General features: G+C 32.2%; 1 long non-coding RNA gene across 1 annotated transcript in view; it reads right to left on the bottom strand.

Annotated features, from left to right (window-relative positions):
* Positions 1-19,927, bottom strand: part of LOC105373699 (uncharacterized) — a 54,578-nt gene extending 34,651 nt beyond the window's left edge. The window contains exon 1 of the long non-coding RNA XR_923496.2: positions 19,706-19,927. This is a non-coding gene — a long non-coding RNA (uncharacterized LOC105373699). The remainder of the gene's footprint in view (positions 1-19,705) is intronic.
* Positions 19,928-22,804: the final 2,877 nt, after the last annotated feature.

Genomic DNA, 22,804 nt, shown 5'->3' with positions numbered 1-22,804 from the left:
TCCTCAGTTTGTGTAACAGAATACAATGAGAAGGTGTGCTGAGATTAAATGGAAGAATGTGTGCACTTGTGTGCGTAGGGTCTTTCAAGAGTGTCTCCATATGTATGAAGTTAGTAGGGAAGAAAGTCAGAAAAGAGACAATGAAATAAATTGATGAAAGAGGGTAGCAAGTGTAAGACAGAGGGCAAGTGTGTCCCGAGATCATTAAAGTCAAGTCAGGGAGATGAGAAATGAGGAGGCTGGAATGTGCTGTGGAAGCCTACCCAACTCTCTCCTGATCTGTCCCTCTGCTTCGATTCCCAGACATCACACTGCCTCAGCTCCTGCTTTCTCTCTGATGTGATTCCATGTAAGAGATCCAGCACCTCCCATTCTGTGTCTCTTTTTTTCTCACTGTCTGATGGCTCTTGAGCCTGCTATGCTGCCATGGGAACCTGTGGGAGACAGTAGGTGCCCATTACATTTATTCCCTTTCATCCCTTTTTGAAAATGAATTAAGCGTTTTCTGTTTAGGCTGGCATAAAAATGTGTTCTGACTCCAGAGTCCTAAAATTTGCACATTCAAGATATTTAATTTAACATTGAAAAGCAAGAAACATGTGGCTGCTAACAATGTCAGCCTTGAAAACCATACTCGCAAATCTTGGTCATTAACAAATATTTACACAAGTATGATCCCTGTCAGCAGTCAATTTCTTCTGTTAATGAGAAATAGCTGAGACTAAAAATAGTGGCAGTATATGTATCATCATGACTAAAATGATAGGCTCTAAAATCATACGTATGTGGGTTCAAATTCTAGAACTACCAAAATATGTGACTTAAAGAAGTTATTTTACTTTTCTAAACCTTGGTTTCATAAATCTGTAAAATGGATTGTCAGAACAGGATAGTCTAATTAGATAAAAGAAAGAGGTTAAATTAGAAAGTTTATGTAAAACACTTATTACAATGTCTGGTACACTAAATGTTCAATACATGTTTGATATTTTTAATAGCAAAATGCTCTGTCCTAAGGAAGGTAATTTTGGCAATAAAAGAGTCAGTGTTTTCATACCTATCAAAAATTACATACACACACATCCTCTCTAATTTTAATGCCATTAACTTGGAATTTAATTCCTTGTCACTACATAACTACATATAGCTGATATATTTATATAATGAATTCATTTCCAAATAATCCTATAAATGAGATAAGAAAAGACATTTTCAACAAGTAGAGACAAACTGAGAATAAATAATTCTCTTTTAAGGTTACATTTTGGGATCAGTGAAGTCAAATGACTTGGTATTTTTATCATATAATGCACATGATTTGAAGAGGAAATTAGTTTGTATACATGAGTATTACATTGATTTATTCCAGATATCACCAATCTTAATTAAAATATTCTTTGATCAGAGTCTTTCCATTTCTCATACAGAAACAAGCTCTGCTATTAGAATGTACACTGCACTTTTAAGGTTTTATTTTATATTTGATATACAGAGTAGTTATGCTACAAAACAGGATTTTATGTCATTCATAAAGAGAAGTGAACTGAGAAAAGTAGTTTTTTGGCCTTTTTAATGCTATTACTATGATATTTCAGTGCTCATACTTACCATATCTAATTAGTAAATTGCACAAATACAACAGGAGTTTGAATAACATGTTATGAATTTTCATTTGTACACATGTGGCTTTTGGAGCTCTGCCATTTCCTGAAATAGGAAGATTGTTCTGAATAGTAAACAGTAAGATTTTCTGTTTTAGCTCCAACTTTAATTTGTATCTGGCTTGAGAAATGTGATCAAATTATCTAATCAAAATCTTTGACACCGTCAATGGGCTTTTTAAAAATAAAGACAATATTGAAATGAAGCCTGCAAATTAATCTCATTATCTGCATAAAATTGAATTGAGGACTAAAATAGAGCTTGTGCCTGGCAAAGTTTAGTTTTCAAAGATGATGTTGACACACACATTTTTTCTGTTCCATAGTGGTCCTTGGATTAATTTCAAATCTGATATTTAAAATGAAATAAAACGAAGACTAAGTATCTGATCCCAGAGCAGTCGTTTTCAGTTTTCTCCATCTCAATGAGATAGGACAATTTTGCATGTGTGTATGTATGTGTGCGTATTATATCTATCTATAAATATACCTATACATATATTTTATAGATATATAGATATACATTTTCATTAAAAATATAGACTTCTTTATAAAGAAATATATTGATAATAACAAACATTTCTGTAAAGACCTGTGTGTGTGAGATACCTTGAGAATAAAATACCTAGAATTGTTGTCACCTTGATCTTCAGATTCTAAATGCTTTCCATTTTTACCAAAATGTCAAATTATTTTTTGTGTAAAAGAGAAGGCACTCCTTGCAAACTGCCAGATTGTATACCTGATTGTTAAATACTGCCAAATTTTTGAGGCAGACAAAACCTAACTTCTTATATTCATGAGAAGTATTTATCCCACCAGAAAGATGTGCAGGGTAATATCACCTTGAATTTATAAGAATTGACTATCAAAATACTTAATTACTCCCTTAAACAGTAGCAAAGTCCAGGCAAGTTTTGGTAGTATCATTTTACAGATGAGCAAAATAGAGATCTGTGATGTTAGAAGCTAGCGAAAGGTAACATAGCTAATAAAAATGGCAGAGATAGGAACTAGATTATCAAATTTTGGTCCCAATATTCTTTCACTGTGCTTTCCTACCCTCTGACATTTGTGCCTACAAAGCAACTACTTACTTCTCACCAGCTATCCCTCAAGAGAACCTTGTGTTAATGCAAAGTGAACTTGTTTTATAAAATCAATAACACTATTAATGCATTGTAGGCTTTTTAGTGAAATAAATTTATAAGCCTAATAATTAAAGATTATGTCTACCTTAACCCAATCCTTTTCTGAGGGAAAACATCATCAAGGCAATTCATACAAATAAAATTGAATAATGCTTACACGTGAACCCCTGTAATTTATAAGACAACACATTTTTTAAAAAATTTAAAGTCATGCTAAAAGAAATTACATTTATAAAGCCATCTAAATGTCTTTTGAATTTGTCTTAAAGCACACTGTCATACTTTAAGGCAATATTAAAACAGAGTTGTAAACAGGCAGACTGCAAATAAAATGGCCATTGGTTATCATGGTGATTGTAACAGAATTATCTGCTGTCAGGAATTTATTTTTAAAAACTCTGTGAGAAGTGAATTCAGAATTAATAATCAAACAATGCAAGTGGTGGTCTGGGTTGTTTATTTCAGCTTCTCATTTAAAATATATTTAAAAGATTAAAAACGTGTCAGTGTGATAGACAAAATAGTTTTGCCAAGTTAGATAGACATACATACTAAACATTATATTAAAAAATAAAGAAAATTATATTACATGTAAACTTTTTCAGACAAAGTTCTATGCCATGTGAAGGCACTCTATTTTCCCTAAGGGTGCTGATATAGATAGCTCTATTTACAAGGTTCAATGCAATGTATATCTCTTTCAAGCTTCAGGGATAAATTTAAAATTGATAGAGAAGTAAAGAGCTAAAGCTAGTGTATGTGAGTGTAAGTGTCCACATCTAAGTGTGTGTGTGCGCCTGTGAGAGAGAGGAAGAGCACTAATGAGGAAGCTCGGGAGATAACCATTTGAGAAATACACTGTAGATTATCTACACTGTAGGAACTTAAATCATACTCATAGCAGTTCTTTAGGATGTTCAGGGGAGAACAATAACAATGGAAATATCCTTCAGCAGACTAATGTTTTTATGTAGCTTATATTTTTTTCTTCAAAGAATAAGCTTCCTTTTTTTCTACAAAGAAAATGAATACTTATCACAAATTATATTAAGAAAACATTTATATAAAGTGACTTTGGAATACTGTACTAAAAATCTTTAATTTGCTTCATGTAAAATTTAAATTAAGGAGCTGATCAGAACATTGGCTAGTAGAATTACAACTGGGTTTCATTTTCAACATCAGTATTCGTTAAGCCACATTATAAATTATAAAACCATACAAATACACAATATTAAAATGGTTCTCTCATTCACAGTTTCAGTAGTTACATGTGCTCTCTCAGGAAATATAAATTTGCATACAGCCAAATTCTGAATCAGGAAACATTTTACTTTGTGATCTTCAAATGCATCAAAAGGAATATGAGAATGTAAACAGGAAGAATTATTTGAAAACAAGAATTATTTGAAAATATTGGCCTGGAGAAAACTATTTTGCTTTTAACATCTTCGTAAGCCTGTATGATATATGAACAAATTTCTGAATTAATTAATAACACATTATTTTACAAGGTAAACAGACATTCAAATTTGAGCTTAAAAATCTTGACCCTGGGTACTTTGTCAAGAAAGTTCTCTAAAATCTGTTAAATATATGTAATTATATTACTGTACATTTTAGTACTATGAGTGTTGAGAATTGTAGCTAATAGGATCTGCCTTTTCCTTCAAGTAAGTGATGATTGTAGGCTAACTTAGCCAGCCCTTTTTTTTTCCAGTTTCCTCTTGCCTGTTAGCAGTCTAACAGAAGTTTGCATTATATTATAAATTCCTGCAGAAATTCTTCTGCTTAGTGCATATTAATGCCAAATAAAATTATCATGTGTAATCTTAGTTCTTTGGATGTAAAAGGACTGTAATATTTACATGTAGTTCATTGTTTATAGTGAACTATTAATTAATTAGGTGGCTTATATTGTTGCTCGCTCTGCCCTGTGGTTTCAATGTTCTCTTCATAGGAATTGAAGGTATGTGTTCAGAAGGTTTCTGTTAGAAGAATGTAAAGAGTTCATTTTTCAGATTCATGGGAAAGTACAGATTTGGGGATGGAGGAGGGCATTTGAAAAAGAATAAAGTAGCAATCCTAGTCAGAAAGTATATACTACAGCTGTATTGCAATCTGCCAAAACAACTGTGCCCTATTATGTTAATAAAACAAAAATATCACTTTGTGATGTGGGTATTTCCAGCATCCCTTCTTGTAAATAGAAACCACCACCCACAATGCATTGTACTTCTTGTGAAATATGCAGATGCGATGTACAGTAATCACACACAGAATGTGTGGGTGATGTCACCTAAGTGTGGGCTGGGTACACTTTACAATGCATTTTGGATTTGTATTCATTTAAAAACAGCATGGTATTGCTTTTTGATAACACTCATAATGGAATGGTTTTGCTTCTTCAGTGGGTTTTCACTTAGAACAGGAAAAGTGCTAGATTATGATAACATAAGAAAACAAAGCTAAGGCCTATTCTGGGGAAGAAAATGGGTTGCTAGGCTTATTGAACTGGTCTTGTTGATCTTAAGGAAATAAATAAAGAAGTAAAGAAGAACCTCTTTCAATAGAATGTCACTTAACTTCATTTGCAGTATTCATGGAACTGAATCATAAAAATATCATGTGTTAGCATTGCCCTGTATGTCCCATGGCCTTCATTAGCTTACAGGAAGCTCAGTGGAAGCTTGAAAATACTAACAGAAAAAATGACAGAAATCAGGTATGCTGTCCTCTGGTTTTGCTTTAAGATAATCGTAATAATAAAAGTTTGGGTTAGGCATCCATTTATATGTGAAAAGTAAAGAACACTGAGCAAGGCAGAATCCAGAAGCCAAGATATAGCCAGCGATGTTTAAGAGAAAGAGCCCCGGCTGTAAATGTGCACAATATTCCACATTATATACATGTCATTTCTGAGTACTGTTGGAACGATGCGGTGTCAAATCTGTATGACAGATTGAGGTGAAAGCTGGGAAGAGAGAGCTTGTGAAAAAGCAGCCCTGACTGAGTGGGGCATCCTATAGGATTTATCCTGCAGGCTAAGTAACCAGCTTCATCTCATAAAAGGAAGAGGAGAACCGGGATAATTGTCTACTAATTTAACTAGCTCATTTGGTCATTGTATTATTTAAATTGTATTCAAGTGTAACAATGCCATCTAGTGATGAGATTCTAAACTGATCTTTTAACTGAAATCCTGGTTAAGGTTAGAAGGCAAGTGTTTGGCTATTAGATAGCACTTTAACTTAATATTCTATGAAATAATAGAGCACTCCCAATGTCTGTTTTAGTGTTAGATAAATTATCCATACAAGATAACACAAAGGACAAAATGAACTCCCTCCCTTTTTTGCCTTTTTATGCAGCCTTATTTTTATGTGGGAAGTTCATGTTCAATAGTAAAACATCCTATGATTTTCCATCAGTCTGTGACCTGAGTTTATAGCATCTCTGATATTTTCTCATTCAATAGATCTTTACAATCAATTGTACTGAAAGCATATCTTTTATTTAACCTTTGCTTTTCGAAAACAGTATTTGTAAAACTTTAGCTAACAAAATGATCATTAGTTATTTCTTTTCTTTTACCCATCTCCACTTTTTGCTTCCAGCATAAAACCAGCTCTTCTAAAACATGGAGGTCAAAGTTCTTCAAGATCATAATTCATGTTTCTCCATGGCAATGACTACTTATCACATCATCCTGTTAAAACTTGAAAACAACTTATACCTTTATTGAGAGAAATATAAATTTATAGGAATACACATTTTAATTGTAATTGCTTGCCTGAAATTTGGGCAAAAGTGATTTAAAAATAAGAACTGAAATAAAAAAAGAATAAGAACTAAAATCAGTGGAAATAGATTTTAGGATTATCTTTACTATTAGTTAATTATATAAGCTTAAATTTAAGAGACAGGTTCTTCGGCTTCAGTTTCCTCTGGGAAAAAAAAATGTGTGGATCTGACAAAGTAATCTCTAATATATTTTCCACCTACAAACTTCTGGGCCCGTTAAGTAGCTGATAAATAAAATTTTTAAAAGAGTGGAGCAACAGGAAGAGTTGACTTTGTTCTACTTCTGGTCTTTGTGGCTGCACTCCAAGACTTTGAACTCTTCTTCAGCAGATGTTTAACAAAATGTGTTGTTTGATAGATTATCCTTAACACTTTAGGCATATCATCTATAGGCAGGGAACAGAGTAAGGGAAGATATCCCAGTGCAGGATAAAAATGTATAACATTCGAAATATTGCTTCACATCAATTTTTATATCAGCTATATTCTAAAGTGTTTTATGTAGACATATGACCCCCAAAATTGAAAAAAAAATGTTATGGTATAAAGATGTTGCATCACCCACTTTCCCCTCACTCAATAATGTGTAATGACATGGTACCTTTCTTTTTTAATGTTTCATGCAGAAAACAAATTTTATATTCCAATCCCTAAAATTTCAGATGATATTACAAAATTTTCTCAATTGTCTAATATATAAGCTTTTTCGAACAGGAAAGGTGCTACCTGATGCCATGGAAACCTACATATATTTTTAGTTTATATGTAGAAAAATTAAAATATCCTGATTTTAATAGTAATAAACAGATACTAAGACTCCCTTTCTGATAAATAAATTAAAAAGTCAGCATTATATCTTCTTAAAAGAGCTAAGGGTCATTTGTTATTCACTTATTTTTTGTTCTGTAAGTTTCCTTATGTATCTTTCATCTTATCCACCATAGTAACAATATTAAAATAAATAGCAGATTTTTCTTCAGTTTAACTATTATAAAATGAAGTTACTTTTAGTATATTGTGATTATTTACCTACTTATTTTTAGTAGTTGCATATTCTAATTCAGGATTATTAGTGAAGAATAGGTGAGTGCAAGTCCAAATTATTTGTCATATATATATAAATCTGTACTCGGTTATAGGAATTTTTTTTAGTAACAAACCAAACAACACGAAAACATAAATAAGGCAGGTATAATCTCTGCCTGATAATGTGACTTGAGAGCAAAACTTGGGAAATTACAGCTCCCATTCCCAGTTAAAAGACAAAGACCAAATACAATAAAAACAGATATGCGTGTGGTCCAATAACAATGTTAGGAGCATACCTGTTGGATTTCACAATAAATATTTTCGTTGAAAACATTTATAAACTAAATTGTATATTGTTAAAGAAAATATTCATTAAATAATTAATTAAAATCAAGACACATTTTATGTTTTAAATTCTTCCTCCAACTTTTTACACTTTGTATTTTTCTTTCTGCACATGCTCTCTCTTGCTTGTGCTCTCTCTCCTCCTTTTCTTTCGTTGCTTTCTTTCTATATTTGTTATTCTTATATGATTTCGAACAAAATATATAATTTTATTGATAAATTATCTGGTTTTATGAATTTTCTTACTTTGTTATGTTTTTTGGCCTGAGCTACAATAACAGCTGTAAATCCATAAGACTTTGAATAATAATGCATGTGAAGAATTTTAATTTCTTTGAAAAAAACTTATTTATTTGAGGTTATTAGACATTATCATTCTGATAACCTGCGAGATCTTATAAATCTGATTTTTTTGGCTTTGTCAAAGCATTTTTTTTTGCTTTAATACATGCCAGTTTATTTCCACAAATTGTTCATGAGAATGAAAAACTGGCTGATAATTAGTTCACTAACATATTTTACAAATATTTACTACAATCAAATTCACCCTCTAAAATCTCAATATAAATTTTAGGATATATTGAATCATTTTGAAAAACCACAACCTCTCTCTTGCTGCTCTATCGATGTGGTGCCTAATTACTACTATATTTACTATTTATTTCACCTAAACGTCTCTATGGTTATAACAACACAACCTTGATTTAACCAATTAACAAGTAGAAAAATCAATAAAACAACTAGATGTTTTTCAATATATTGCCACAAAAGATATTTAAATTTGTGTTTTTTTTAAACCTGACCTCAACTGTTATTTGAGTAGCCTGATAATATTGATAAGTTGCAGTTTTGTGTAGTAAACAGAACCCGTATGTTATAGACTCTTGGGATTGAAGCAATAGGCCTAGCTTATCTGTAAAAGGCATGATTATACATTACTAAGCTACTCAAACGATTGATTTAGTAGAATTACAGAGAATAGAATTACTCATCTAATATGTTTGCTTTAAAGATGGCAAATAAATTGGTTTATGGGAAAATGTTTCATTACTCAAACTGCTGTTTTTTAACGTTATCTAGGAAGATTGGTAACATACAACCAGTGAAAAAGAAGAGTTGCTAAAATAACTAATGAAGTAAATTTTATAAATGTGAATAACTTAGTCAAAGAAGGTTCCTGCCATCATCATCCTGGGATTCAACTGTTTGTCAAAGATCTCAAGAGTACCTCCTTCATGTATATGAAATAAATTTAACCGTGTTATGAAGTTGCAAATAATTTACATACTGACAAATATGATTTTTGAAATCACAAATTCTATTATTTAATTAAAATAATTTATCAATACATTAATTTTCTTTGTGATTGACTTTGTAGGCTTCTATCCCTAGAAAAAAGTTAAAAAAAATCCCAACAAAAAGAAGGTATTTACATTCAGTTTTATTTGTATATTCAAAAATTCTTGTTACTTTCTAAGACATTAAAATAAGATTATACCTAAAGTAGCAAAATTACAACAGAAAACTTTTGTTCCTTTTTTTTTTTTTGATTTATTTAGCTCACCACTCAGCTAGCCAAAAAGTGTCTGAAAAGTAAGGGGAGTCTACACTGCTAGCTAGTCATGACATGGACAATTTAGCGATGTGATACAGGAAACAATTTTTTTAAAAAATAACATGTAAATGAATAGTTCAAACAAATTATGTTAACATTTCTTTCTTATCTTTAACTTTTTAAGTTACTATAAACTATTCTTTGATTTGGTAGCGTACTTCATCATTTCTTTCACTGATCATTTTCTTTTCCCTCTTTTCCTTTTTCTGAACAAAAATAAAAGTAATTTTAGAAAAAAATTGACTAAACTGTATTTTGCTGTATATGTTTCAAATAATGGTTATTATTACTAATGACTTTAAAATATATACATATGAGAAAAATATCAATAATTGGCAAATGAATCTAGAAACATTCCATGAGAGTATATGTTTTAAATATAAAGAATTTTTCACAAAAAAGTATGTGAATGGACCATGATTGAAGTTCAAATGATTCTAGTAAATGGCCTTAGATATAAACTTAGTTTCTTATAATTTTCCATTGCTTTATTACACTAACGAAACAGCTTTAGTTAGGGTTCCTTATAATGTGTAGCTCCACAAGGACCTATTTTTTATACTTTGGCTCCATCTAGTAGAAACTGAGGAAATTACTTGAAGATGTGACTTCCCTTTTTGTAGGACTTCGAGCTGCATGTCATGGTAATGGAAAATAAAATAAAAGATGGCAAATAACCTGCCTTTATTATAATGTGGCATGCTTTTATTTGAAAATGTAAACTACTATTCTATATTGTGTCATATGCTTTTTACCTAGAGTAAGTCAATTGTTTACTATTTTAACCAAATTCAGGATTTTGCTGTCTTAAATTTTGAGAGAATAAAAATGGTTTTAATTCTTGTTCCATCACTTTCTCCTCCAAGGTTCTGGCTTTATAACAGCATAGAGTCAACTTTCCTTCAAGATAGAAGGTAAAAAGTACTTTTACTACATTTTCAACTCACACGTGAACTAGCTGAGACGTTTATACAACAGACATGGAAGCCTGTTTAAAGTTCATCTTTGATGGGGAGCAGGTATCGGCTAAATTTTAACGAGTAATCATAGCAAGGTTATAGACTTTTTCATATTTTAAAAAATTACCAATACCTTAATAGTTCTTGGATTCTCATATAAAATATATTTTCTTCCTTTTTTGTTGCTTTTTTTTTTTTTTTTTTTTTTTTGGTTCTTGAAGGTCACAGTAGTTCCTTGACTGCTAAGACTACAATATCTGCAATAGAATGTGTGTTTTCTATAATTGCTTTAAACAGGTAAACACCAGTGCTCTAATCAAAATGACCATTCAATCTAAACAGAAAACTACTTTTTTTTTTCCAGGAGAACATGTAGTATTTAACAAATGACATCCTAAGGTTGTAAAGGAATGGATAATTTAAAGTAGCTAATGGGAATGACAATGTTAGTTGTACTGCCCCAAATCTAACTGCCAATAAGAATGCCTCTGTAGTTTTACCACCTGAAATACTTCCAGTATAGGCAGCTAATCTAACCTGCAACACAGCCAATTCAATCATTGCTGACACTTTCACCATCAACACTGATCACTGTCGCTCAATCAATTGTGTCATGAGGAGCCATTGATTTCAAGATGGCTAAACTGATTGGATAACCATGAAATGATTCAACTGGTTAGTGCCTGTACATATTTCCATACTTTGCTTATTGGTGGGAAGCACAGTAAATTTCAGAGATGTGACTAGTGAACCGGTTTGACTATTTAAAATTGCAATGCAGTCTTCTGAGTAGAGAGAAGGTCATTTCTTTTGAAAGGAAAACTTTTTGAAAAACGCAGTGGCTGTAAAAAGTTATGCTACTCTCAATTTGATTTTGAATGGCTTATAAAATAAACTTTTTATTTTAGAGCAAGATTAGGGTTACATAAAAATTGTGAAATTCAAGTTCCCTCATATTGCACATCCAATTTTCTCTATTACATTAGTAAATAATACATAGATTCATAAAATTCTCTCTAATTTGCTCAATTGTTATTAAATGTTTTCATCAATTGGACTCATAAAATTGCATTTTATTAAAAAGGGTTATTTTACTCTTTGTTAGTGTTATGCAAATCAGCTTTTATGCATTCTTTTTAGGTTTCGATACCACACAACTTTCTGTAAGTTGTTTTTTAAAAAGCAATTTTTGGCAATATAATATGTGCAAACATTCAAGTCATTTAAATGTACCTAGTATTCTGCCTTTAAATGTTTGGCAAAAACTAAGTAAAAAATACCTTTGACCTATATCAGAATAGAAGATGAAAGACATTTTAAAAGAAGTACTTCATAATAAAACATCCTGATATACTGGTGTAGAGCTAACATGTGATAATCATCAATGAACATTTATTTTTGTCACTATAAAAATAACTCATGCATGTGTAAAAAAAACTCTGAACAATACAAAATTCTATAAAATAAAATATAAAAGTTCTTCCACTCTTAGTCCCATTTTCTAGCGTTAACATTTTATTTCATTTTTGTTCTTTAGATTGTCATCAAACTCTAAATACTATGTTTTTACTCCATTTCTGCATATATCTAATGTAGGCAGGATTTACTGCAGCACAGATTAAAGAATTGAGCATATTTGTACTAACTCCTTTCATTTGTTCATGCAAACATTTAGTTTCCTTATTTGTCCTTATTTTTCTCTGTGAGGAAGATACTTATTTATTTCTGTTACTATTCACTTTAGCCTGTGTAATGACCACTATGTCAACTAAGAAACTGGCCCATATATATACTTCTCCATATGTGGTTCGATTCACTTTCACTTCTTGTGGGTTTTCAGATCTACAATTACTTTATGATTCAAGATTATAGCATCTATTTATTGCCTAAAATATATGCAAACCTTTGATAACCTGTGTTTATAAGTTGATTATAATAATTAAAAATTAATAAAGTAGGTTTATAATATAAAGATAATTTAATCATTATTGATAGCCATACCAAACCCTTTTTGACCTATACAAAATGAAACATAATCTTTATCATTAAGTGTGTATCATTCAAAAGAGAAAGTGCCAAGTATCAAGTTCAAATGAATTCTTAAGCTGTATTCATTGAATAAAATTACATTATGTTTTAACTTGCTTTGTAATAGTATTATGCTTTTTTGTAAAGTTTGTCACTTTACTTTGTTCCTCATTCCTTCTCTCTTTTTTTTTTCCCTTGGTGTGTGACTGACTAGGCATAAGAAAATCTTTCATTTTCTTAGCCATAGATGTGGTAACCAATTGCCAAAGTTTTCCAGGGTAAGTCTATCTAAATTTTGATTCTAATTTGCATTAATTTTTTCAAATATGTACATATACATGTCTTTCTATTCATTAAAAAGACTCAAGAGAGAAGTTTAAAAAAACACCTACAATTCTATCAATCATAAAATACTAGGAGTCATAACTAACTTTACTATTTTGCATATATATTTCCCAATATTCTGATTGCATATATCAAGAATGAGAGTAGCTATTGATATAAAAATGTCAATAGATAGGTATAAAATGTCAATAGATATAAAGTGGCTACACTATGTATGCTGTACTGAAAATTATACATATATTACATACTTGAATTTAATTAAAAACACTTTAATTGAGAGGATTCTGGGAAGACGGTGCCACTGGCAGAATCACTCTCAATCTTTCTGAATTGACACACACACACACACACACACACACACACACACACACACACACAGAGAAAGAAAAGAATATAGAAAGTAAACAAAACCTACGGGCATTTAAGGCACACTAGACCTCAAGGTGATTCTAGAACCATTCCACACGCCAAATTAACAGGTGAGACAAATCACCAAAAGTCACAGGGCCATATATAAAAAATAATAATAATTTATCAGCATTTGATGCACTGGAGGGAAAAAAGAAGAGCTAGAGACAGAGAGATCAGTTTAAAATTCTTTGAGAAAGATACATAAAAGAATGAGAGCTGGATTAGGTTAGGAATAGGAAAATGGGAAGGAAATAATAATATAAGTACTTAGTAAATGTTTGATGATCTCTATAAGCCAAGTCTGTGAAATTTACATCTAATTGAAGAAAGAAGTAAAGGAGATTAAAGCAAGAACCCAAATCGACCATTTCGGTTGGCCCTGTTACAGAAAAGAAATATTTTGGCAGAAAATGCTTCCTCAGTAAAGCAAAGCCCATCAGTTTCAGTGAAGCATTTCTGTTAATAACTTGTCAGAGGGAAACGGTGTGGATGTTAGGTATCCATGCCAACATGTGCCAGTTTCTCACTTCTCAGAATATTTTGCCAAGGTATAGATATAGAATGATTTCAGACTTTCACAGGCAAGGGAAAATGGACTGAAACAAGACTTCAAAAAATTTGGGCCACCACATTTTTACCTTAATATTAAATCCAGAATCATTCACTTCATTTCATTTATGACAATTTTCCACAGTTGTTTTTAATTGGCATGCAGGGCATCCATTCATTTAATGAACAATTACCAACTTTTAAAAATCAATCCATACTGTGTTTGGTAGTAGAAATCCACCCTGTGCAACTTGTGCTAATTAGAATATTTTGCCTTCTTAAAAATAAAATATTTTACTGCCATCTGCTGGCATAAGGTCATAATAATTCTAGAAATCTAAACTGTGAAGGTGAATGTTGCATCCTGGAGCTGTTCAAAGCAACTGTAAACTTCAGTTCTGATAAGGGTGCGTGTATAAATGAGGGCAGCTTTCTAGTACATGTATTCCTATACTTCCCACAGCCAGTGTCATGTAATCCCATTTACAGATTTAACATAGTACATCCCATTATGGCCAAGAAACAGTCACAACATGAAAATATTATTTTAGGGGCCCAATCCTGTTTGAAAGGGGAGTGTTAAATTGTAAAAAGAAGCAAAAAAAAAAAAAGCTATGAAAATAAAAACAGGATCTCAGGAACCAAGTCTCTACCAGATCAAACAAGAAAGAACAAAGTCCTGTTGCTGAGCCTCCATTCCATAAATGCCTGCTGCCCTCGGCCAAGAGCAATGCTAGGCATCAGGCAGGAGTAGAGGCCATCAGGGAAGATGAAGGCTCTAATCTGAAGATTTGTAAGGCTATTTTATACTCACTAACTCAATGTTTTCACATTTGTAAAATGTTTGGAAACTTACATCAAATAAAATTTTATATAAGATCTCAATTTATGCAGAAGAATAAGTTTCTGGGTGAAGAAGAGGTACAACAGAAGAGCAAAGCCTTGTCTGCTCACTCTGCTGTTCATTTTCCACCGCTTGTGGAAACCCTGACTGTCCAGAGGCCTTCTATTGGCTCCAAAACAGATCAGGATTTCTTACAAACCTCTTTTCTCCTTGGATTATTTTTTACTGATCCAATGTATTTATAGCTTATATTTCCTATGGAAAAAAATTATTATAAAGTAATCTCCAAAATGTGTACAAATTTTCATAGAAAATATGTTTTTCTTGAACAGAAATCTATGAAACAATGATTTTAATTTGACTTGAATGCACAGATATCAGAGACTAGAGAAACAGGTTTAAAGATTTGAAAGTACCTTCAAAATTATATTTTAATATGTCAGGAGAAATAATCCTGCATATTACCATCACGTTGATAATGTAGCATATTAATATATGTACTACCTTATCCATATACTACCATTACATTTACATTGCCCTGGAATATAACCATTTAGGCACAATTGCTATCTCTCCATTAAAGGAAGTAAGAAACTCATCTATTGTACAATTCTAAACTGTGAATCTTTTTTCAAGTTAAAACAAAGTCAAAGATGGAGCCCTACAGAAATAGGAGAGAGAAATTTTGATAAGAAAAGAAAGATGGGGGAGAAATGGTGTGATTATTGCTCACAGTAGGGAGAAAAAAGAATTGAGTTAAGGGGAGTGTAAGAATGTCATAGATTGGTAAAGTTGAAATAAGAAACCATTTATTCAATTTTTCCCAATTCTGTACCTGGAAAAGACTTGGATCTATTCTAGCATTGTTAGTCATATATGTGGGTCAAACATCATTTACATTCCTTTTTGTTAGGCCATTGAAAAGGAATGATAGATTGAGGCTCATGGTTGTTTTTCCTATATTTTCTATTTACTTCAAAAATCCATATATTGCCAACTCGAATGTACTGAAATTGACTTAATATAGCTATGAGGTTAATATTTCCCACACATAAGGGAGAACAAGTTATAGTTAATGGGAATTAACTAGTGGTTGACATGGAATGTGAATCTAGTTGTCTTGATTTCAAAAGTCAAGGTCCTTCAGTATCAAAATCATGTGTCTGTCTTCACTGACAGAAATCTCTAGAATGTCTCTATTATTCACTGTAGCATGGTTACATCTACAGGGGCATATAAATACATTATATATTCATTATGTATTTATTATATATATTCATTACATATATATATTCACAAATCTCACCATTTAGAGAGAAATCTTATTTTATAAGCCTTAATTATATCTCTCATGATTATTGTATTTTCTGAGAACTCTAAGAAACTGCTGTTGAAGTAGGTTAGTAGGGGATGGGCATGACTGAAAAATACTATGTAGTTTTCTTCGTGCAACTACTTATTTAAATGTAAATTTTAAGTTAGTCGTTAAGAAGAACAGAAAGAGTTCCTTAGAGGCTAGCGGAGATAAAGAAAGAAGTGAGGTGGTTGGGCAAGGGAGAACTTCAGTGAAAGAAATGCAATATTTGAAACTTGTTTAATGTAGATATATGAAAGGTAATATAAATACTTCTTCATTTCTTCAGTAAAACATACTTTTTCTTGATATTACATTAGAGAGTTTAATCTGTTTGAGCATGAGACACAGTCCAGAGTTTTTCATCTTTAGCAGAAACCGAGATTGGTCAAGGAGAAAATATTATGCTTGAGATATTATGGCCACTAAGCCATCAATCTAGCTACCCATCCCTTAAATTATTTTTGGAATAAGATAAAAGATAAAGAAATGTTTTATATTTGTATATATGTAGAGTCAATGAGAGGCAAACACTAGATAATTTTTTTTAGAAAGACTAGAACTGTGCATTCTTCCTCCCAATTGAATATTATGTGTAAAAATACGAGTAAAAATATTGTGAAAAAATTACTAAAGAATTATAATTGTGAATAAGTTAACATTTATATATCTGTATATGAATATATCAAGTTTTCTGCAATATTTTGTATTTTTCACTGTCTCTACTTATATCACTTCTAAAATTAGACTTTCTATCTCATGTAAGTCACAGAAGTTGGAAATTTGTACTTTAGGAAATACAATATTTTCAATTTAGATTATATCAATTAGTAGAAAAACATATTCATTGCAGATGACACAATTCACATGAAAATACCACACAACATTTTTGAATGACAGAAAATTTGTAAAAAAATGTGAATGCAGTGTTTGAATTATTTTTGGCATTAATTCTACAAGTTATTTTTATTACACTATTAAAATATTTGACATGTTAACACTTTAAGTGTCTCAAATGTGCATTTAATTCAGATTTAGTAACACAAGTTTTGCTTATGAAAACTAAGTCAATTATTGAAAGCATTTCCTAAGGTTTAGCAATTATTTGAGAGCTGCATTTACTCTAAAGTAATTAGCTCAAATGGCATGTTCATGAAAGCAGATTTAGAACAACTTTACATATTGGTATGACAGGGAAATGTTTAGTACCAATATAGCTAAAAATATTTAAATTTATTTGATCTGGCAAGCATTTTATTTTAAACAAAGGAACAAGTAGACATTTTAAAGTATATTTGTCACATTTTCAAGATACAAAATTGCCATATTTATGGCTAGAATCTTGTATAAAATAAAAATGTCAAAATTAATTGAAACAATGTAAAATTTTAGGGAGTTCTTACTTTGTTTTTATGTTATCAACTTTCTTATTTGAATATGATATAAGCAAAAGAGTATAGTTTATGAGGCTGTATATGTTACATAGTAAGATAGAACAAAACAAAAATCCAGATACTCATGACTCAGCTTACAAAAATAGAGCACTACAAATAAAGTTGAATTCCCTGCTCTGTATTAACTGATCACATTGCTTACTCTTACTTAATGAAGTAACCACTGCTCTGAATTTGGTTTTACTCATTCCCTTGTTTTGCTCTATAGTTTTACAACATACATACGCACACACCACACACATTTAATATTGCATTACTTGGTTTTACTGTGTGTGTGTGGTGTACACACATATAAAAAATTGAACTTTATTCTTCCATGATAAATCTATTTATTGTATTTTATTTCATTTTTGTTTTTGAGGTATTTAAATGCTAATGCTTGAAGCAGGAATTAATTTATTTTTATGATGTTACAATAAATATTATTCTGTATGCGTATTTATGTATTTATTTATTGCTTCTTCAGTTAACGAATTTTGTTTAACTCTTTTTTTTTCTCTGCCATTATGAGCAAAGCTGTTATTAGCTTTTTTTTTTTTTTTTTTTTTTTTTTTTGAGACAGAGTCTTACTTTGTTGCCCAGGCTGGAGTGCAGTGGTGCGATCCTGGCTCACTGCAATCTCCGCCTTCTAGGTTCAAAGAACTCTCATGCCTCAGCCTCCCAAGTAGCTGGTGGTACAGGCATGTCGCACCACACCCAGCTAATTTTTCTTGTATTTTTAGTAGAGAGAGGGTTTCTCTGTGTTGGCCAGGCTGGTTTCAAACCACTGGCCTCAAGTGACCCACCCACCTTGCCTCCCAAAGTGCTGGGATTACAGGTATGAGCCACCATGCCTGGCCAGCATTCTTGTACACATTTTCTGTCACACATATGTAAGAGGCTCAGTCATAGTGTTAGAGTAGGTAGCTAGGCAGACATGAGCAGGACCGGAAAGTCCCCTCCAAGAAATGTCAGGCAACCATCAGATGATGGTCAGGCAGTTATTAGTTTGTCTTTCTAAAATAATAATTGCTCATAACTGGTGCCAGGGAAAGGTAGTCCTCTAATACATAGAAAACACCTTCAGCTAGTGATCAGCAGCTTTCCAATAAGATCTCAGGAGTTGAAAAAGTGGGCTTAAGCATGCACACTAGGAGGCAAAATGACAGAGTTTAACAAGTATATGACCTTCCTCTGGTAATACTCCACGGCTAAGGGAAACAGCTTTAAATGAGCATGCACACAACTTCACAACTTCAGTAAGCACACTGTGCATGTGGCCCCTCCCAAGTGAGGGTGAGGTTGCTGCAGACCCCATATGGATATGAATACGTTCTGCCAGTAACACTCTCACTTGTACCTTAGGACTCAAAGTTGATAACTGAGCTGCCACTGTCATTGCTACTACCACTCTAGGAAACGTAGAGAGTGATCGTGCTGCTGACTCTACCTGGTCTATCTCAACACCAATACAATCAGAACAATGCAGTTTCTTCTACCACTCTGTTCTAGCCACACTCCAGCTTTTCCTGTCTCACAGCCTTGAAAACCTCAAAGACCAGCATATATCCTCCTCTCTGTCAGGTAAGTCTCATTACTCTCCCCAGGATTAGCTAGTTCACAGGATGTTTGAATATGGAATCGTTGATTCTCTAGCAAGTAAAGAGAATACCTGCCCCATCCATTCAAGAATTGAGTTTGCTGCAGACCCGTCGGATTTGCCGCTGCTACCATGCTTTGGCGTCTTGACTTTTTCTGCCCGAGGCATTCAACCTCCCAAGTATGTTAGCTGTGGTGAATCTGATTCGTCTGCAGCAAACTCAATTCTTGCCTTCTCAGAAGAAACAATTCGGCTGAGGGACATAAGGCAGAGTGAGAAATTGAAGCACGTTTTAGAGTAGGAGTAAGAGTTTATTAAATAGCTTTAGAGCAGGAATGAAAGAAAGTAAAGTACACTCGGAAGAGGGCCAAGTAGGCAACTTGAGAGAACCTTGACCCTCGACTTGGGGTTTTATATGTTGTCATGATTCCAGGGTTTGCATTTCTCCTCCCCTGATTCTTCCCTTGGGGTGGGCTGTCCACATGCGCAGTGGCCTGCTAGCACTTGGGAGGGGCCACATGTTCAGTGTGTTTTCTGAAGTTGTGCATATGTTCATTTAATGAGGTTTTTCTCTTACCGGTCAAGTGTTCCCAGAAGAAGGTCACGTATCAGTTAAACTCCGCCATTTTGCCTCTAAATGCGCATGCTTGAACTCACTTGCCCAATTCCTGAGATCTTATCAGGAACTGTCAATCACCAGCTTCTGTTGTTTCTATCTGTTGGGAGACTGCCTTTCCTTGGCACCTGCTACAAGCAGCTATTATTTTAGAGACACAGACTAACAACCCTCTGATCGTCACCTGATGGTACCCTGACATTCCTTGTTGGGTTTGGGGCCTTTCCTGCCCTGGTCATGTTTGCTTAGCTGGCTGCTTTAACAATACAATATACTATATTTAACTTCAGTAGTTTTTCAAACTACTGTTTGTAAATTTTTTTTTGTCTTCTAGAGTGATTGTTCTACCACAGGTTTATATGAATTTGAATTTTTCTTATTTTATATTGCCATCATATCTGGTAATATGAGACTCTATTTCTTTCTTCAATTTTTTTGAGAGTAAAATTATACTTCACTGTGGTTTTCATGTTTATTTTAATGAAATAAAGCTCAATAGTTTCCTATCTTTTAAAAGCCACTATGCATTTCCTTTTCTTAGAGATTCTTGTTTTTGTGCTTTCCCATTTTAAGTATTGTGTAGTTTTTTTTTTTAACTTACTAATTTTAGGGTCTCTTTATATATACTTGATAGCACCCTTTTATAGTTTTTAGATGTAGCACATATCTTTTCCCGGAGTATAATATCTCTAAGAATATTGTTTACTTTTGATTTAGTCAGATAAGGTATTCTATAAAATAGTGATATTTTAGAAAGCTAAACATTTAAAACACCTAAAAAGTAGTTCATTAATCTAAATATTCCAAATGAATTTGAAAAGAATTATTTTTACACTCGTTGGAAGCAATACTGTATACACATTCCTTAGATCAAATATAATTTCTTATTGTCATACCTTCAATATCATTACACTGTGGTTTTGTTTTTGTTTTGTGTTATTTATCAACCACTGAGAGGTATATATTTAAAGAAAACTCCTAAATCAGGTGGGTTTGCCAATTTTATTTTGTAGTTTTATTAGTTAATATATATTTATATATTTTATGATGTTCATACATTTAATTTGTAACATTATTTTAGTATCAAAATAGTACCTGAAGCTCCACATTTTCTAGAACTAGCCAAACAAGTGATTCTAAAATTTATATTTAAAAACAAAAGACAAGTACAAGCAGTAAAACTTTGAAGAAAATTCAATGATAGCAAGCTAGTAATCCACCCAGCAATGGTAAACATAGGATTAAGCATCCATAAGCAAAACAGCACAGCACCCTTTCACTATTAATTGACTGAATTGAAGCAAAGTTTTCTAAAGTATAGAAATAGAGCCAAATAAGCCTGGACATTTAAGACGTGACAAAAATACCATATCCAATCTATGGGGGAAAGGTCAACTTTATAATAAATAATATTTGAGCTAAATTTTGCCTATCAGAAAAAGATTATAATCATAAAAGTCTCACGTAATATACCATAATTTATGAATCAACTCAATTTTTAAATGTGAAAAGGAAACAGAACAACCGGAAAGAAACCTGAGTTAATTTTTTTATATACCCTTGTCATTGAGCAGGACTTGCCATTGTGTCACAAACAACAAAAGCCACAAAAGAAAAGCTGGGTAGATTAAATTATATAAAAAATAAAGAATACATGCATTAAAAAAATTCCTTAGTAAAGTCAGAAGGCAAATTACCAATGGGAAGTGTGTGTATGTGCTTGTGTGGATGCATGTGCACATGTGTGCATGTATACCATTTATACTACAGATTTATACCATTGAAATAGGGCAAATCTATGTACTCAACAATCAAAAGAAGACAGGTAAAGAAATTGTAGGTAAACTGTCTCTCTCTTCTCACTGGGTGTTTTGAAGTTTTTTTTTGTTTTTTTTTTCTCTACCATTTCACAAAAGATGTCCATGATTGCTTTTATGTATTGATTTTTATACATCTATAATTTTACATTTTCTTTTGCTTCATGAATATTCCTATTTTTTCTGTTTCCCCTATTATCTATTTCTAGGCTTGTTATTAGAAATATATTAAAGTCACACATCCAAAATCTTTGATATTCTCAATCAGTTTGATGGTAATTTATTCAGATGTAATTATTGTTGATATAATTTAGTCAAATCTAACTAGGAGCTTATCAATTATTTCCCATCTCTGCCTTATCCCGTTCAACTTATATACTTTTCTTCTTTTGTGTTTTAATTTCTAGAAGTTCTATTTTTTGAATTATTCCTGTTTGTTTTCATAGGCTTCTCTTTTTTATGATTTCAATAATATATGCTTGTTAGTTTCTTAAATTCTTGTAGCTTTATTTTTATATGGTATTTATGGGACTGACACAAACATCTATATACACACATATTTATAATATATATCATCCTATAAATATTTGCTAACTCCAGCTTATTGTGTTGTATTTGAACTTATTTTTACTCTGCATATATGTTCCTCATAATTTATGGCCTTGACAAATTAACTGAATGAAGACATACCTACCCACAATATGCAACTATAAAACTTGACTAGCTATATAAAATAATTGCTTTCAGACATTAGACAACCGATAGTATAGGACTGTAATCTCTGAGAAAAGAAAATAAGCTAGATAACATCTATGTTCACCTGAATTTTCTGCCTAGAGACTATTTTCAATGACAGTACTGGAGAAGAAACCTTAAATGACAAAAAATCTTACTGAGTTGAGGAGATGGAGACCAGACGTTAGAGTAACTGAGACAGATGGAATTTATGGGACAGAATACCAGGAATGAGGCAACTACCTAAAGAAAGAGCTCCAGATATCTGCATTTGCGTCACTTTGAGTCTTTGCTGAATGATAAAAAGACGTCTTCATGGAGCGAAGTTCCCACAGGCCTGGCAAAGAACATGTACTCAGAGATACAAGCTAAACAATTTTCAGAGCTTATAGAGAAATAGCAGATGTAAGAATTCCTATCAACCAGAATGGAGAGACCTCACAGAAAAGCTTTGGCATGAATAGTAGGGCTAAACAATCACATGAATAAATATTTCACTAGACTAGCC

Source organism: Homo sapiens, chromosome 2 (genome assembly GCF_000001405.40).
Source record: "Homo sapiens chromosome 2, GRCh38.p14 Primary Assembly".
Lineage (NCBI taxonomy): Eukaryota > Metazoa > Chordata > Mammalia > Primates > Hominidae > Homo > Homo sapiens.
Note: the sequence above shows the minus strand (reverse complement) of the source record. Positions and strands in the feature narration are given on the sequence as shown.